The sequence below is a fragment of the Homo sapiens genome, chromosome 13 (assembly GCF_000001405.40).
Source record: "Homo sapiens chromosome 13, GRCh38.p14 Primary Assembly".
NCBI classification, from domain to species: Eukaryota; Metazoa; Chordata; class Mammalia; order Primates; family Hominidae; genus Homo; species Homo sapiens.
Window position 1 is genome coordinate 54123980 of NC_000013.11, and position 19321 is coordinate 54143300.

The 19321-nt window shown below is 39.2% G+C and overlaps 1 long non-coding RNA gene across 2 annotated transcripts, besides 3 other annotated features; it reads right to left on the reverse strand.

Moving 5' to 3' along the window:
- Nucleotides 1–344: 344 nt before the first annotated feature.
- On the reverse strand, nucleotides 345–8892 carry LINC00458 (long intergenic non-protein coding RNA 458). 2 transcript variants are annotated; one of them, NR_108062.1, is made up of 4 exons: nucleotides 8634–8892; nucleotides 6895–7092; nucleotides 3301–3450; nucleotides 345–776 (listed from the first exon to the last, which is right to left on the reverse strand). It is a non-coding gene; the product is annotated as a long intergenic non-protein coding RNA 458 (long non-coding RNA). The 2 variants fall into 2 exon arrangements; NR_108063.1 differs by lacking the exon at nucleotides 345–776 and having other exon boundaries at nucleotides 2883–3450.
- Nucleotides 3468–4028: an enhancer, noted in NCBI's record as "OCT4-NANOG hESC enhancer chr13:54701582-54702142 (GRCh37/hg19 assembly coordinates)". NCBI's record gives its function as "activates a minimal SCP1, AML or CMV promoter by ChIP-STARR-seq in primed H9 embryonic stem cells {active_cell/tissue: H9 hESC(primed)}" and the evidence as "EXISTENCE:reporter gene assay evidence [ECO:0000049][PMID:30033119]".
- Nucleotides 7963–8658: an enhancer, noted in NCBI's record as "H3K27ac hESC enhancer chr13:54706077-54706772 (GRCh37/hg19 assembly coordinates)". NCBI's record gives its function as "activates a minimal SCP1, AML or CMV promoter by ChIP-STARR-seq in primed H9 embryonic stem cells {active_cell/tissue: H9 hESC(primed)}" and the evidence as "EXISTENCE:reporter gene assay evidence [ECO:0000049][PMID:30033119]".
- Nucleotides 8659–9354: an enhancer, noted in NCBI's record as "OCT4-NANOG-H3K27ac hESC enhancer chr13:54706773-54707468 (GRCh37/hg19 assembly coordinates)". NCBI's record gives its function as "activates a minimal SCP1, AML or CMV promoter by ChIP-STARR-seq in primed H9 embryonic stem cells {active_cell/tissue: H9 hESC(primed)}" and the evidence as "EXISTENCE:reporter gene assay evidence [ECO:0000049][PMID:30033119]".

Genomic DNA, 19321 nt, shown 5'->3' on the forward strand with positions numbered 1-19321 from the left:
GACCTACTAACTTTCTTATATTAAGCTCCTCACAAATGGACTATAGAATAAGAAAATAAAGGTTTTCTACCAATCCTAGTTAATTGCTGTTATTAGTTAACTGTGTGCTTCCTTAAGTATGTTTTAAGGAGTCATAAACAGAACCTCTGTATTAAATATATTTTTACATTTCAACTGATTCTTGGCATTTATGTCATTCATGTTGTTTTTCTCGACATTTATACCATTTAATCAGTCAGAAAAAAAGTAGTGGGTGGTTAATAAGTTATTTACAGGAAAAGTGAGGCATATAAGAATTAATGAAAGACACTTAACTGACATCACCAAAGAGAACCTGACAAAACTTAAACACTCAAATAGTTTTAATAGTCATCAACTTCATACAATGTTATACTTTATCATTCAATAAATGTAATGAATTTTGTACTTTTTAATGTTTAAAACTTTCTAGTGGAAACTAACCAAGAAATTTGAGGCCATATTTCATCTTGTGCTACTTATTTTTAAAAATATATTTTGTGCAATAAATCTGACCACTTCAGTAGCAGTTGGCTAAAAAGACCACAGAATTTGTCATCCAAACCGGACACTATTGAGAGTCTAAGAGGATACCATTAATATTATGTTGGGATAACCAGTGTAAAATCAAATTTTCCCAGGAAAGCTACAACTTATGGACATCCTAAAGTTACGCCAACTAAGCAGACGTAGAGAAAGATCAGATTTGTTCTCCTCTTTGAAGATATTTTTCGTCTTTTTCTCTCCCCCTTTGAGTTCTTATAGAGGAAAAAGCCATAAGAAAAGAAAGAAATAGAATAAGGTTTAGAGACTAAGTACAGTCATAATGAGATTTTAGTCAATGACAGACCACATCACATATACAACTGTGGTCGCCTATGATGATAATGGACCTAAAAAATTCCCTGGCCTAGTGATGTCATGGTTGTCAGAATATCATGGTGTGTCATATTACTCACGTGTTTGTGGTGATGCTGGTATAAACAAACCTACTGTGCTGCCAGTCACATAAAATTGTAGCACATATAATTTTGTACAGTATGTAATACTTGATAATGATAATAAACCATTATGTTACTGGTTTATACATTTACTATACTACACTTATTATTTTAGAGTGTAATCCTTCTACTTATTAAAAAAAAACTAACAGTGAAAGAGCCTCAGGCAGGTCCTTCAGGAGGTATCCAGAAGAAGGCATTGTTATCATAGGAGATGACAGCTCCATTATGTATTATTGTCTCTGAAGACCATCCAGTGGGACAAGATGCAGCTCTGGAAGACAATGATATTGATGATCCTGACTCTATGTAGGCTTAGGCAAATGTATGTGTTTGTGTCTTTGTTTTTAACAAAAACGTTTAAAAAGTAAAAAAATGAAAATTAAAAAAATTTCAAATGGGTAAAAGCTCATAGTATAAGGCTATGAAGAAAGAACACATATTTGAACAGCTGAACAATATATGCTAAACGTTATTACAAAAAAGTCAAAAAGAAATTTAAAAGTTTATAAAGTAAAATAGTTAGAGCAAGCTTAGCTTATTATTAAAGAAAAATTATTTGTTTATAAATTTAGTGGTGGCCTAAGTGTATAGCGTTTATAAAGCCTGCCATAGTGTATGGTAATGTTCTAGGCCTTCACATTCACTCACCACTCACTCACTCACTGACTCGCCCAGAACAACACCCAGTTCTGCAAGCTCCATTCATGGTAAGTGCCCCATACATGTGCACCATTTTTTATCTTGTACACCATGTTTTTACTGTACCTTTTCTATGTTTGGATATGTTTAGATAGTACAAACGTCATTGTGTTACAAATGTCCACAGTATTCAGTACATTTACATGATATAGATTTGTAACCTAGGAACAGTATGCTATACCATATAGCCTAGGTGTGTAGTAGGTGATATCATTTAAGTTTGTGTAAGTATGGCCTATGATGTTTGCACAACTACGAAATCACCTAAAGATGCATTTCTCAGAACACATTGCCATTGATAAGTGAAGCATGACTGTAATTTAGATTCAAATTTGGGCTCTTCCAGATAGTACCTGAGTGATATTTCTCATGTTATCTCTGTTTTCATTTCCATTTTGAATGACAGTGTCTTGTCCATATTGCCATGTATTGAAATCATTTAATATACCAAACTCTAATACTGTTGAGCAGAGCTGTACAATACATTAGCCATTAGCTACATGTGGCTTTTTTTTGAACCTGTGGCTTTTTCTATGTAAATTTGGAATAACTAGTATTAAAAAAACATAAAATTCAATTGCTCAGTCACTCTAGCTACATTTAAGTGTTGAATAGCCACATGTAGCTACTGGTGACTACAGTAGAATACAGATTAGATTTCCATCATTGCAAAATGTTCTTTTGGACAACACTTGGAGGGTCAAAATCATTATTTCTTGCTTAGACACTTTCAAATCTTCCTAAAATGTCAATGTATATTCACTTTGGCATTCCTGAACCTGTTCTCCATTCAGCAGCCAGAGCAATTCTCTCCAAAGGCAAACTTTGCCAATTTACTTACCTATTTAAAACCATTTAATGGTGCCCTGTGGCTCCAGCCCTCCCTGTATGGTCTCCCTGCTTCTTTCATCCCAACGTTATTAAACTATGCTTGCTCCTGCTTTCTGTTTCCAGCCACCTTGATCTTGTTATTCCCCTTGCATTTGCTTCCTTCCTCCATGGGTCCTTCGACTGTATCGTTTTCACTGCCTTGATTGCTCTTTCTGTTATTCATCACATATGTCCTCCTACAGATCAGCTCAAGTGTCACTTCCCAGGGGAATCTCCCCAAGCTTCTCTGAAAGATTAAATCTTCCATGATAACTCTAAAACACCATATAATTTCCCTTCAAATGGCAAACACGTTTTTATTTGTTTATCTTCCTCAAAATCTGTCTTTGTGGCAGGCAAATAGTGATAATAAATGAGTGAATGTTTGTTTTTCATTACATTTGAATTTCTACCACAGTGGCTTCTGCAGAATTGGCATTCATGGAACAAAAGAATGAGTCCAATCCTTGAGTAGGCTCTATCAGCATCACTATGAAAAACTATAGCACCTGATAACAGAAGCTAACTCTGTCAGAACACTGGGATCAATCTCCAGAGGTCATCGATCTCACCCCTTGCCCCAATGACTCATGTTGCTTCTCTTTATTTAAGCTAGAATCCATTAATAGAATAATTATATATGTAAATATAAAATGGAAATCTGAGTTCCAGCTTCAATAATTTTAATAATTAATATATCAATTATTACCTCACAGTACTTGCTGTAGGAAGGTTGTGAGATGTCCATCCTTTGAGATTTAAATATAGTTCAGTCCAGAAGAAAAAGTCCTTTTTTTTGTTTTTTTATTCTGCTACCAAAAGAAATTTTTTTGTTTGTTTGGTTTTTTCATGCGCGTTCCTGTGAAGAGACCAGCAAACAGGGTTTGTGTGAGCAACAAGGCTGTTTATTTCACCTGGGTGCAGGCGGGCTGAGTCCGAAAAGAGAGTCAGCCAAGGGAGATAGGGGTGGGGCCATTTTATAAGATTTGGGTAGGTAAAGGAAAATTACAGTCAAAGGAGGGGCAGGTGTGGGGGTCACAAGGCGCTCAGTAGGGGAGCTTTTGAGCCAGGATGAACCAGGAGAAGGAATTTCACAAGATAATGTCATCAGTTAAGGCAGGAACAGGCCATTTTCACTTCTTTTGTGGTGGAATGTCATCAGTTAAGGCAGGAACTGGCCATCTGGATGTGTACGTGCAGGTCACAGGGGATATGATGGCTTAGCTTGGGCTCAGAGGCCTGACATTCCTGTCTTCTTATATTAATAAGAAAAATAAAACGAAATAGTGGTAAAATGTTGTGACGGCAAAAATTTTTGGGGGTGGTATGGAGAGATAATGGGCCATGTTTCTCAGGGCTGCTTCAAGCGGGATTATGGGCAGTGTGGAAACTTAGAGTGGGAGAGATTAAGCTGAAGGAAGATTTTGTGGTAAGGGGTGATATTGTGGGGTTGTTAGAAGAAACATTTGTCATTTAGAATTATTGGTGATGGCCTGGATATGGTTTTGTATGAATTGAAAAACTAAACGGAATAAAAGAAGGACAAAAACAGGTATTAAAGGTCTAAGAATTGGGAAGACCTAGGACATCTATTTAGAGAGTGCCTAAGGAGATTCAGCACAGTCCTGCCAGCAAAGATTATTTATTTACTTTAAGAGTTAAGAGTGGCAGTTTGGGGATAGCACCAGGAGATATCAGCTGTGATGGCTTGGAGAAACAGTGTAAACTGGCAGTGTAAACAAGAGCAGGGCATGTGTAAGTAGTTGAGAACAATGAATAGGAGTATGACTAGACAGAAGATAGTAGGGATGACAAGTTTTTTGGGGCACAGTCCAAGTTGGTCTGGAGTCTGGAATGAGACTGGGGCCTAATAAAAAGTAGTGTCTATACAGGAGCTCAAATGGGCTGTACCCTGTAGCTTTCCGAGGACAGGCCTGAATTCTGAGAAGGGAAAGTGGTAAAAGTATTGTCCAGTCTTTTTTAAGTTGGTGGCTGAGCTTGGTGAGGTGTGTTTGTAAAAGACCATTAGTCTGTTCTACCTTTCCTGAAGACTGAGGACCGTAAGGGATATAAAGGTTTCACTGAATACTAAGAGCCTGAAAAAATACTTGGCTGATTTGACTAATAAAGGCTGGTCTGCTATCGGACTGTATAGAGGTGGGAAGTCTAAACCGAGGAATTATGTCTGACAGAAGGGAAGAAATGACAGCAGTGGCCTTCTCAGACCCTATAGGAAAGGCCTCTACCTATCCAGTGAAAGTGTCTACCTAGACTAAGAGGTATTTTAGTTTTCTGACTCGGGGCATGTGAATAAAGTCAATTTGCCAGTCCTGGGCAGGGGCAAATCCCCGAGCAGGTGGGAGTGACCAATGTGAAGGAGAAAAATTGGCCATGAGGGACAGAAGTTGGAAAGCTAGCTGCTTGTTGAGGGACAGAAGTTGGAAAGCTAGCTGCTTGTCTAGCCACCTTATCAGCATAAGCGTTGCCTAGAGCAATGGGATCTGATGCCTTTTGATGGCCTTTGCAGTGAATGACTCCAGCTTCCTTTGGAAGTAAAGCAGCCTTGAGCAGAGTTTTTATTAAGAGGCATTAATGATGAAGGACCCTTGCATAGTGAGGAAACTTCTTTCTGCCTATGTAACAGCATGGTGGTGCAGAATATGGAAGGCATATTTAGAGTCAGTATAAATATTGACACGTAGTCGTTTTGCAAGAGTGAGGGCCCGGGTTAAGTCAACTAGTTCGGCTTGCTGAGAGGTAGTGGAGAGGGGCAGAGCGGTAGCCTCAATGATAGATGTGGAAGATACTATAGCATAGCCTGCCTTTGCTGGTGAGTGGCGATTAGGCCTGGTGTAACTGCCATCAATAAACCAAATGTGATCAGAGTGAGGAACAGGAAATAAGGAAATATGGGGAAATGGGGTGAATGTCAGGTGGATCAGAGAGATACAGTCATGAGGGTCAGATGTGGTATCCAGAATAATGTGGGAGGCCGGATTGAAGCCCGTGCCAGGAACAATGGTAATTGTGGGAGACTCGACAGAGAGTGAGTATAGCTGAAGGAGCCGGGAAGCAGAAAGTATATGCATCAGGTATGAGGAAGAAAATAGATTTTGGAAGTTATAAGAACTGTAGAGAGTGACTTGAGCATAGTTTGTGATTTTTAGGGACTCTAAAAGTATTAAAGCAGCAGCAGCCACTGCACACAGACATGAGGGCTAGGCTAAAACAGTAAGGTCAAGTTGTTTGGACAGAAAGGCTACAGGGTGTTGTCCTGGCTCTTATGTAACAATTCTGACCGCACTAACCATGCCTAGGAAGGAAAGGAGTTGTTGTTTTGTAGAAGGGATTGAGGTTTGGGAGATCAGTCGAACACGATCAGCAGGGAGAGCACGTGTGTTTTTATGAGAATTATCCCGAGATAGGTAACAGATGAGGATGAAATTTGGGCTTGACTGAAGTAGTGGGGGCTATCTGTGAAGCCTTGTGGTAGTACAGCCCAGGTGATTTGCTGAGCCTGATGGGTGTCAGGGTCAGTCCAAGTGAAAGTGAAGAGAGGCTGGGATGAAGGGTGCAAAGGAATAGTAACGAAAGAATGTTTGAGATCCAGAACAGAATAATGGGTTGTGGAGGGAGGTATTGAGGATAGGAGTGTATATGGGTTTGGCACCATGGGGTGGATAGGCAAAACAATTTGGTTGACAAGGCGCAGATCCTGAACTAACTTGTAAGGCTTGTCTGGTTTTAGGACAGGTAAAATGGGGGAATTGTAAGGAGAGCTTATAGGCTCTAAAAGGCCATGCTGTAGCAGGCGAGTGATAACAGGCTTTAATCTTTTTAAAGCGAGCTGTGGGATGGGATATTGGCCTTGAGCGGGGTAAGGGTGATTAGGTTTTAATGAGATGGTAAGGGGTGCATGATCGTTTGCCAAGGAGGGAGTAGAGGTATCCTATACTTGTGGGTTAAGGTGGGGGGATACAAGAGGATGACGCAAAGGAGGCTTTGGATTGGGAAGAAGGGCGGCAATGAGATATAGCTGTAGCCCAGGAATAGTCAGGGCAGCAGATAATTTAGTTAAAGTGTCTCGGCCTAATAAGGGAACTGGGCAGGTGGGGATGACTAAAAAGGAGGGCTTAAAAAAGTATTGTCTAAGTTGGCACCAGAGTTGGGGAGTTTTAAGAGGTTTAGAAGCCTGGCCATCAATACCCACAACAGTTATGGAGGCAAGGGAAACAGGCCCTTGAAAAGAAAGTAATGTGTAGTGGGTAGCCTCCGTATTGATTAAGAAGGGGACAGGACTTACCCTCCACTGTGAGAGTTACTCGAAGCTCGGCATCCGTGATGGTCTAGGGGGCTTCCAAGGCGATTGGGCAGTGTCAGTCTTCAGCTGCTAAGCCGAGAAGATCTGGGAAGGAGTCAGTCAGAGAGGCTTGGGCCAGAGTTCCAGGGGCTCTGGGAGTGGCTGCCAGATGAGTTGAACAGTCCGATTTTCAGTGGGGTCCTGCACAGATGGGACGCAGCTTAGGACGAATCCCGGGCTGCGGGCATTCCTTGGCCTCATGGCCAGATTTCTGGCACTTGTAGCAAGCCCCTGGGGGAGGCAGGCCTGGAGGAATGCCTGGCCACTGCGATTTAGGCGTTTGGAAGTTCTTGTGTGCTGGAGATGTGGGTGGGGTTTGTCTCACAGTGGAGGCAAGGAAGTGCAACTCAGAAATATGTTGCTATTGGCTGTCTCTACTCTATTATTGTACACCTTGAAGGCAAGGTTAATTAAGTCCTGTTGTGGGGTTTGAGGGATGGAACTTAATTTTTGGAGTTTTATTTAATGTCGGGAATGGATTGGGTAATAAAATGAATATTGAGAATAAGACAGCCTTTTGACCTTTTAGGGTCTAGGGCTGTAAAGCATCTCAGGGTGCTGCCAAACAAGCCATGAACTGGGCTGGGTTTTTATATTTAATGAAAAAGAGCCTAAACGCTATGTGATTTGGGATAAAGAAAAAGGAGCATTAACCTTGACTATGCCTTTAGCTCCAGCCACCTTTTTAAGAGGAAATTGCTGGGCAGGTGGGGGAGGGCTAGTCACAGAAGGAAAGTGTAAGCCTGACCAGGTGTGAGGAGGAGAGGTGATAAAAGGATTATAGGGTGGAGGAACGGAGGCTGAGGAAGAATTGGGACCTAGCTTGGCCTGGTGAGGAGGGGAGAGGTCAGATGGGTCTGTAGAGAAGGAAGATTAGAAAGACTCAGTGACGCTTGGGGTTGGTACTGAGGGGACAGGGGGGAGGGAAAGAAGGAAGATTTGAGATGAGTTGCACTGGGAACAGAGACTAGAGAGGGACTGATGTGTAAAAGAATGCCTGGACGTCAGGCACCTCAGACCGTTTGCCCATTTTACAACAAGAATTATTTAGATTTTGTAGAATGGAAAAATTCAAAGTGCCATTTTCTGGCTGTTTGGAACTACTGTCAAGTTTGTATTGGGGTCAAATGGCATTGCAGAAAATAAGACACTTAGATTTTAGGTCAGGCGAGAGTTGAAGAGGTTTTAAGTTCTTAAGAACAGAGGCTAAGGGAGAAGAAGGAGGAATGGAGGGTGGAAGGTTGCCCATAGTGAAGGAGGCAAGTTTAAAGAGAAGGGTAGGGACACGGAGAAGGGGGGTGGGGAGCAGCCCTGGGCTGCAACGTAGGTGAGCAGCCAAAGCAGGAGTCCCTGCAATTGACTTGCCACCAAGGGAACGTGGGTGAATGATCAAAGGCAGGCGTCCCCGCAGAGATCAGACACCAATGGAACGTGGGTGAATAATCAGAGAGGCACCCCCGCAATTATTAAACACCAAGGGAAGGCTGCCTCCCCGAGTCCGTGACTGGCGCCGGAGTTTTGGGTCCACGGATAAAATGTGTCTCCTTTGTCTCTACCAGAAAATGAAAGGAATTGAAATTAAGAGAAGGGAGAGATTGAAGTGTGGCGCCAAGATAGAAAGGAGAAAGAGGTTGAGGGATAGTGAGGGAGGTTGGAGAAGAGAGTAAAAAGAGGCCACTTACCAGATTTGAAATTGGTGAGATGTTCCTTGGGCTGGTCAGTCTGAGGACCTGAGGTCCTAGGTAGATCTTTCTCACGGAGCAAAGAGCAGGAGGACTGGGGATTGATCTCCCAAGGGAGGTACCCCGATCCGAGTCATGGCACCAAATTTCATGCGCGTTTGTGTGAAGAGACCACCAAACAGGCTTTGTGTGAGCAACAAGGCTGTTTATTTCACCTGGGTGCAGGCGGGCTGAGTCCGAAAAGAGAGTCAGCCAAGGGAGACAGGGATAGGGCCGTCTTATAAGATTTGGGTAGGTAAAGGAAAATTACAGTCAAAGGGGGAGCAGGTGTGGGGGTCAAAAGGCGCTCAGTAGGGGAGCTTTTGAGCCAGGATGAACCAGGAGAAGGAATTTCACAAGATAATGTCATCAGTTAAGGCAGGAACAGACCATTTTCACTTCTTTTGTGGTGGAATGTCATCAGTTAAGGCAGGAACTGGCCATCTGGATGTGTACGTGCAGGTCACAGGGGATATGATGGCTTAGCTTGGGCTCAGAGGCCTGACAGTTTTCCCTTAGGGCTTCTGTCAGGCCAGCATTTTAATATGCTTGACATTTTTGACTTTCCAGTAAATGTTTAAAAGAAATTGTAAACTAAATTTAGCTGATGAATGTTGTTCAGTTTTACATTTGTATATTTTATTTACAAGTGACTTTAAAAATATTTTTCAACAGGATTTCAATGATCAGCCTAATGACTCATCAATGTGTTTTATGTCAAATAGTACTGGACATCAAGCTGTATCCATCAAATAGTAAAATTCTACTAAAGAATAAAATAACATGACAAATACTTTTTTAAAAATACCCATCCATGTCGTCTTTAGAAAGACATATTAAACTACAAAATTAACATTAATATAACTAAAACAAGTGACTACTACTTATAGTTGCACTATTGAAGGTTTTCATTGGGCATTACATTATCTCTCCTAAATGTTTACTTGTTTACTAATATTTTCAATAAAAAAAACGCTTTTTACTTTGAAATAAATACTCAAAATCCCTGAATACATGTGTTTGATAATGAGATTCCTTTCTTACAGCTATGTTGCTTTCTCTGTTTCATTTTTTTTCTTTTGCTGTCCTGCTGCCTCCTTATTAACACTTTTAGGTTTGATATGCATAAATAAGAAAAAGCTCTCCTTTGTTTCTCTCTTTAGCGTCATCAGCAGCTATTGTCACGTTAAGAGTTCTTCTGGGCCTTCCAAGATGCATAATAATGATAATGATAATAACTTCCATTTATTGAAAACTTACTAAGCACTTCGTGTACTCTTTTGCAAAAACACTGAGACATATAAATCATTAATATACCTTTTAAGAGGCAACTGAGCCTCATAGAGATTAAGCGGCTTGGAATTAAGCAGCTAACTCAGTCATATTTATGGTAAAGGGCAGAGCCAAGATTCAGATCTAGATAATCTTTATTCCCGTTCTACACTCAGATATTACGCTATCCTGAGCCCAATAAAACTACTGAATCTCACCATGGTTTGGGAAGGCAATTCAGTCTCTGTACTGCATCTGTTTTCATTTATGCATAAGATATGTTAGCGTATAACTACTATTGATAAATTTTAACAGGGCCACTCCTCCTGAGACTTGCTAAGTGATGAACAAGTCAGCAAAGAACACTTTGGGAAAGGTCTCTACTTTCTTATCTCTATGCAATATCAGTGAAGCTCACTCGGTATAGAAGGGTCAGATGTCTGAAAACCAGACACCACATGTTCTCACTCACAGGTGGGAATTGAACAATGAGAAAACTTGGACACAGGGAGGGGAACATCACACACCCGGGCCTGTCATGGGGTGGAGGGATCAGGGAGGGATAGCATTAGGAGAAACACCTAATGTAAATGACAAGTTAATGGGTGCAGCAAACCAACACGGCACATGTATATATGTGTAACAAACCTGCATGTTGTGCACATGTACCCTAGAATTAAAGTATAATAATAATAAAAAAAAAAAGAAGGGTCAGATGTCCTAGATTTGGGTCCTAGGTCTACTGCAAAACTCTTCAAAACCATGGGAGAATGGGCTGCCTCAGTTATAACATCTATAAAATAAAGATAATAATTGCACTTCCTTTACATGATCATGGTAAAGATTAAATGTAAAGTTCTTTGAAGAGTACTAGGCACATACTTATCTAAAAAAATTTTACCTGATAGTATTATCACGGTTGACCCTTGGAATTATGGGTATTGATCCTCTCTCATAGTTGAAAATTCATGTTTAACTTTTGACTTCCCAAAAACTTAACTACAAAGAGCCTACTGTTGACCAGAAACCTTACCAAAAACCTAAAAAGTTGATTAACACATATTTTGCATGTTGCGTGTATTATATACTGTATTCTCACAATAACGTCAACTAGAAAAAAGAAAATGTTATTAAGAAAACAATAAGGAAGAGAAAATATATTTACTATTCATTAAATGGAAGAGGAATATCATATGGTCATTATCCTCACTGTCTTCACTTTTAGTAGCCTGAAGAGAAGGAGGAAGATCAGGGTTTGGTCTTGCTGTTTCAGGGGTGGCAGATGGAAGAAACTCCACATATAAATGTACCTTTGCAGTTCTAACCTGTGTTGTTCAAGGGTGAACTGTACTATTATTATCTTGTTTTCATAAAAATTCTCATAGTTGTTCCTCAGAAAGATAACAATAACTAAATTGATATCCAAAATAAAGTGAATATTTTAGAAATAAAAGAGTAACAATAATAATATGGCATAAGGTTTTTTCTTGGGCACATACTAAATGCTGTGCAATAATCACTTAAATGGGAAGAAACTGAGACTTAGAATAAGTAGGTTGTATGTACGTATGAAACCAGTCTGCTTCCTGAACTCAGAAAGGCTTGATGACAATGAACTCCAGGGAGACATAGGAGTCCCACTGATGGGGTTCAGGACGTGGTACCCTAATATATGGCACCTTGGCATCTGAAAAAAACAGTAGAAGTAGGAAGGACACTCTCACCTTCCCCTGTTCTTCTTTTCTGAAAAAGGTCCTAAAACCTGAGAAGGATTTTCTGACCTTCCCCTGAAGCAGGTCATAGACCCTCATTTTAGAGTCACCCTTCTTATACCCAGAGAAAACAAGTGTCCTTATCTTTGAAGACAAACAGTCATAGGGAAGAATGTGAACAAACAGTCCTTGCTAAATTTCCCTCTGGTTTATTACCATTAGATCACACTCTTTAATCATATTTCTCCATTTTTATACATTCTTCATCAAACCTAGCATAAAAGTCTATACGTTTAATCATTTCTTCAGGTCATAATTTTCTTGCAAAGACTCCTGTGTCACATAAAAATTATATTAAAGAAATGTGTATCTTTTCTTATTAATCTTAAATAATTATAATTTTCTTATTTGTTTGGCCCACGACCCTTAATCAGTATGGCAATTGCCTAAATCATACGGCAATTTTCAAAGAGACAGAACATCCATTGTTTACTCACCAAGAGCCTTCAGAGAAATGCTGACTTAGTTCATTCATGGCAAACTGCATTAAAAACAAACAAATGGCAACAAAAAATAAATTTTATTTTTGACCATGTAAATAAAAATAAATTTTATATTTGGACCCCACCTCCAAAATAAAACAGGACTGAAAAAGCTTCTCACATTTTGCTCATGACTAATCTCTCCCAAGGTCCTCGTTTTACTTGTAGAATGATAGACCTCTGAAGTTAAATGGAATCTCAGAAATAATCATAAGGAACTTAGTATTTTCTGCAGTAAGGACAGTGGCCCAATGACATTAACTGCCTTTATTTCTATCCTTACATCTATGCATTTTTACTTAAAAGAAAAGCATTCTTCCTGAGGCTAATGTTGTCTATTTTTGTCTTTCCTATCTGAATTTTTCTTCAGGAAGAAACAAAGAACAAAAGTGTTTTAGTAAAACTTTCTTATTTATAGCCCACAAAGCCAGTCTTCTTTCACTAATTCATCTTTCTGTTTAGATTCATTCTTGACTATATTTCTTTTCCACAGGTGTCTGAGGACACACTTCTTACCTCTGAGCTTCTGATCTCAAATCAGCAATGTTGTTTTCTGTGTCTCCCACAGCCCCTCACCTCCGCTTCTTTATTTGTGCTTTTGGGGAAGCTCTTTTATTTTAGATAGAGTGCTTTATTTTTTCTTTTTCTGCTCACCGTTTGTTAATGTCTGCATCCAAATAGCTGGCATTAAAATGTCTGTCTTTGCAGAATGCATTAAACATTATGATATTTTGCACTTTGACCCACTTTGTCCATTCACTACTCCTTTAAACCATCTCTGCACATCCAATCTGATGCTTAAGGGCTCTCAAGATTCATAACGACATCTTGTGCTTCTTAGGCACCCTACTTATTTACAACATGGTTTCAGCATGTCCATATAAAATAGGCAAATAGCTCACTCCAGAACCGCTTCTCATAATGTAGCTTCACCTTTACACCCAGCTGTCTATCTTCAGTAGACGTCTATTTTTTTTCCCTTTTGGCCTCTCTCCTGGCCGTGGGTCTCTAAATGAAATACATAGCATGGCTCAGCTGCCACCATCCTAGTTGTAAAAAATCACACATCTACTAGTTAGTCTCTGTTAGCCTTTTGCAAAGAAAGACTTTGTAGAAAATGGATTTTCTAATAGATATATGCCACTTTTTTTTTTAAGTAACAGTTTTTTAAAAATGCCTTCTGATTACATTTTCTTAGCAAATCACATGCTACTCTATTTCTAAAGTTTTGTAAAAGACTAAATGAAATAATAAAATAATGATTTCTAATGTGTAAGTCATTTGATACAAGTTAGTAGTCAGGAAGACTATAAATTATTTCAATTGATTGTGATTTAAACAATATTGAGATGAACAGAGATTCTAACATTTATTTTGTAACAAAAGATACAGGGATATTCTCTATATTTTGTTAACGAGGCAGTGACCACACAGCTAGCAAGTTGTTGAGCAAAGATTATTATCCTGGTGTTCTGACTCTTGACCACACAAGACCCGCTCACATAGCAAGGCTAAAAGGTGCCCAGATGCAACATAAGGTGCTTGCATTGCCTCCTCCACATTCTGCTAAAACTGCACCAGAACTGGGTAACAGGAGCACCTTTGACATACTCACTGCACTAATCCTTAAATCTCACTATACATTTGCACATGCTCCTAATGCAGGTCTTGACAGATAAAAGGAAATATTTTAGATGGGCTTTGAAGCATAAACAAAAGTCTACTTGGTATTAACACAAATAAAAAATAACATTCCAGGCAGAAGTTATAGGGAATATGAAGTTATCACCAGAAAGGGCATTATAAGGCAACATGCTTGCATTTCCAAATCCAATATCTTTAAGCAAAGTAGAATTCTGTATTAAAATGGAAACTCAATCACTAACTTCTGAAAGTGCACATGGCATAATAGCATAGCCACAGAAAGATCCAATCCAATCTCTAGATTCCTCTTATGGATTATTGGGAAATTGCACAGCCAGAAGCATGAATAAGTAATTTTCAAGTGCTGCTTTCAGTATTTTGTCTGGGAAATATAAAAATCAATCATATTAGAATATCCAAAAGTCCCAATTTTAGAGGACTTTATAAACTCTATGAAGTTTACATGAATAATGTCACCAGATCCTTACCACAATCTTGTGAAAAATATTGCTATGATTATTTACTTTGAGGCTCAGACACAGTGAAGGTTGAGGTTGGAGGTTGCAGTGGTGCGATTTCGGCTCACTGCAACCTCTGCCTCCCAGGTTCAAGTGATTCTCCTGCCTCAGCCTCCGTAGTAGCTGGGACTACAGGCATGTGCCACCACACCCAGCTAATTTTTGTATTTTTAGTAGAGATGGGGTTTCACCATGTCAGCCAGGATGGTCTTGATCTATTGACCTTGTGATCCGCTCACCTCGGCCTCCCAAAGTGCTGGGATTAAAGGCGTGAGCCACTGCACCCAACCCCAATTGTTAAGATCATGTAAGTAATTCCTCCTATAACTGGACCTACAAAATAGGTGTTTGGATTCCTTCTCCATTGTTTTAAAAAGTCAGCCAGTTTGTAACATTTCTTAAATGTAAAAATTGTTGGAGGTAAGAGATAAACAAAAGAAACTCATTAAAAGAAACCAGCTCTGGCAGAACTGTAAAGACTATTACTGTTTTCACTAACCCAGGATTATTCATTTTTATGCACACTAGCATTTGTGGGCACTCTTCTATTGCCATTTCGGTTGACACCCTTCTGTTTCATCTTTTAGAAACATACTCTTATCAGGCCTGTTCTTCAGAGCCTTAGACCTACTGCTCTTTTCCATAACCTGGTTGCCTCCTCAATAAATGCTATCTCTTGACTTCAGAACACCCAAGATATTTACTTATGCCCCACTGAAATGTACCATCTTCATTTATTTTCTTGGACCACGACTCTGTATATTATCCATGACCCCACCTTGACAGGATGACCCTACATCTTGATATCCCTGAGGAAATCAGGAATAATGCTTATTTCTGTAGCACAGTTAAAAATTGTGTCCCCTTCACTTTTAAACGTGTCACAGTTTTACAAAATGTATATAGTTACCCTTATCTATACTTACTTGTACTAGGTAATCTGATAAATTAATCTATGCTCTTCAGAGAGAATAGAGACAGTATCAAATTATTTTCTTGCCAATGCTCTTTCAAGAGCCTGCAGTTAAGTGGGTTAGATATATATTTTAATTCTGAACATTAAAAAAAAATCACAAATTTCTATGTTGGTTACTTCAATGCAGGATTTTATCTTATTATAAAACAGATATTAGTAACATTTGTCCAAGTTATATTTAGATAAGCATATTTTCAAAATTAGAATGGCTTCCACATTTTCAAACATAATAAAAAGTCCTTTCTTAGCTGAGATACTTCCTTCACTTGTCTTCTGAGAAATAGTACTCTTCTTGCTTTTTATTTGCTTTACTGTCCAAAACTTCTCAGGATTTTTGGTGGATATTTTTCCTATTTCTATTGAAATATTTGATTGGGTGCCCCAGGAAGCAATCCTTGGAGTATTTTCTGTGTCTGCATAATCTCCCAACATAATCTCATTCAATACCATGATTTTATAGAAACTCTATGCAAATAACTCCTCCTTAATTTCAAATTTTTAGAACAAATTGCTACAACATCTCAATTTTCATTCATACATTTATTTATGTATTCTCTCACACAACAAACTTTTTTTTTTTGCCTGCTAATAATTCTCACTCACTGTTCTATGTGCTATAACAATGATCAAGACAGAGTCCTTGCTTTCATGGAGATTTCATTCTGGGAAACTAATAGGGGCCTAAGATATGCCCAAAAACAGAACCCCTGATTCCTCAAACATTCTCACACATGCAGACATACACATGTACACACACATACACACGTACAGGCATTCATAGACACAAACTTGCATCTTCCCCAACAGTCTTCCACCTCAGGACATCACAATTCACCAAATGGCTCAGCAAAAATATTGGATTCATTCCAGACTCCTTTGCTGATGCCCCAAATCCTGTCAGCTTCATATTTAAAATACGTTTTGAATCTCAGCAGTTCTCATAGCATCCATCTTCACCATTCTAAACCAAGCTAGGAATTTTGCAGTAGCCTTCTTATTGTCCTCCTTGCTTCCACTGGACTTGCTACCATTTATTCTCCAGACACGCTAGAATTATATTATTAAATGCAATCCAAATCCTTTCCAAACCCTTCAATAGTTTTCTATAACAGCTGTAAGAAAATATGAATCCTTTCCCATGCCAGTAGCACTCTGTGTGAGCAACCATGGCCTCTATAACATCTTCTACTATTCATGATCTTTCTCACATCTCTCCAGCTACTCTGCCCTCCTGGCTGTTCCTTGAACATAACAAACACACTCCTTGTGGCCAATGCATCAATTCCTCCTTGGTCTCAAATACTCATCCCCCCCGATATTTGCATGGCTCACCGCTTAATTCAGGTTACTGCAGGGATTACCTCCAGAGAAAGGCCTTCATGGATTTTCTGGCCTAAAACAGCTTCTTACTCACCTACACCCCCTCAATCTATTATCAAGTTTCGTTTAGCCTTTGTTCCTAAACTATTATAAATATACACTATATTTTGGTATTGATTTTCTGACACTCTACTGGGATGTTGCTACCACAGTAGAAGAAACTTCAGTGATAACTGCCTTCTCTCAAGCTCTGGAAAAGTATTTGTCATGCAAACTGAGATCAACTAAGATCTGATAAATAAATAAATGAATTTATTAAAGCAATCCTAATGATCTCTGCCTCACAGGACTTTACACAGAGGTGGCTCTGGCATGAAATAAAATCCCAAGCTCAATGATGGACAAACATACACTAACAAGTGTAAAGTGTCTTCCAAGGCTTTTTTTCTTGACTTAAGTGACAAAGAAGAGTAGTTTTGTGGTATGGAAGATACATAAAATCACTTTTTTTTTTGAGACTGAGTCTTGCTCTATCAACCCAGGCTGGAGTGCAGTGGCACAATCTCAGCTCACTGCAACCTCTGCCTCCCGGGTTCAAGCAATTCTCCTGCCTCAACCTCCCAAGTAGCTTGGATTACAGGTGCGCACCACCATGCCCAGCTAATTTTTGTATTTTTTAGTAGAGACAGGGTTTCACTATGTTGGCTGAGCTGGTCTCGAACTCCTGACCTCAAGTGGTCTGCCTGCCTCGGCCTCCCAAAGTGCTGGGATTACAGGCGTGAACCACCACGCCTGGCCAAAATCACATTTCCATTTCAAATTATATAATCTAAGTTACTTGATCTCTACCTTTATTTCCTCTAAAGTTTTATTGACCTTGTAGAGCCATTGTGAGAATTACATGACATAATACAATTTAAATTCTTAGAATTTTGCTTGGCACATTGTAAATGTGTACTACATTTATTTTCATTCTTTTTTTGTCTCATTCACTTATTGTAGTATTTAGTGGGTGATATATCACATTTTTCTATATTCCTCTTCCCCGCTGATCTTGAGTGACACTTAGTCAATGAGACAGAATGTTTAGAAGATATCACTAACTCAAATACCATGTGATTGTTTTGTGTGAGGAAATAATATCCGGGCACTATACTAATCCTGTGGAAGATGGGCACAGTATGGCTTTCATTTTAAATGGCCTACAGTGCTTTTGCCCCTAGTAGAAATGAGATAATGCTAGGTGAGCTGTTAAATGCTCAGTGAATCTCCGATGAATCAAATTATATTAATCATGGTCTTTTTCTGCCTCCAGATACACTAACAGATGCAGGGAGGCTCGCCATATGAGATTTTTGGCTTTATTCTCTTATGAATCTCTTCTTAGTCTTTTTGTCATTTTCCCCTCCTCACCTTTTAGCTTTGCAGGCCTGAAATTGCAAGTTCAGCTGCTTTGGAACAGGTGGATTAGTGGTAGTTTTATGGAACATGTGGCTAATGGTGTCCTTATACGTGGGATGTTTGATTTGTCTAAAAGAGAGATTGCTGTTGCTTTTCCTACAGCTGCTTCTCTTCTCCCTTTAACTTCGATATCTCAGGAGGAAGAAGCAGGGAGTAATAACAAATTATTTTATCCCCTTCATCTTGAATAGCAAGATTTTATAACAAACTAACTGAACTCTGCCCTTTCCCATCCTATCTGGAAAGAAAAAAAAAATTAAAAATACTGATGAAATCAGTTGAGTATTTTAATCACATAAGAGATGTAATTTTCAGTCAGAATTTCCTTACTCTGGTATCATCATTTGGAACTAAGCCATCATTTACTTCTACTGCTAATACAGCAATAATAGTGGTGATAATGGTAAAAAAAGTAAAGAGAAGGCATGGATTCAACAGGGACTTCAAAACTGGCTGAAGTCCTGTTGAATCTTCTTAGTCATCTCCTCCATCCCCTCCTGGAAGAGCCACCATAGCCATCACAGCCTCATCTTTCATTGTTTCTTTCCAAGCAAAGGGCTAGGAGAGAGTGTGACATCTCCAGCAAGGATCACTTTAGAGAAAGTTACAGGAATTTTTAAGGCCTAACTTTTTGCTTCAAGGTGCCAAGATTCCAAATGGATTTGCCTTCAATTATATGACATCACAGTGACAAACTGAAGTTTGGTTTACCAGACCAACAGCTCCTCACAGAATAAGATTATATCTTTTATTTCTGCACCTTGGATATCTCTGTTGTCATCTCTAAGAGTTTACTGAATAAAAATTGGATGGACATTCTAACAGATGCAGGGAGGCTCAACCCATGAGAGACCACCATTTTCTCTGCCCTGGCTCTGACTCTGATGTAATCTTAAGATCTGTTCACTCTTCTCCAAGTCATTGCTATGAACCTAGTTCAGGCCTTTCATCATCTCTCACCTGGTTTACTCCCCCAACTTGATAACTGGGAACTATTCCTTCTGTTCTGATCATGTATCCCTTTCTGAATCCCTGTGCCCTTTTCTGTACTGCAAACAAAATTATGTTTCTAATATGAAAATTTGATCAGGACACTTTCCACTTAAAACTGACCAATGGCTTTTTATGTCTCTTGGTTTAAAGTCCAGATTTTAGTTCGCGCATTTGGTTTGTCATGTCCAACATGACGCAGCTGTGCTAAATC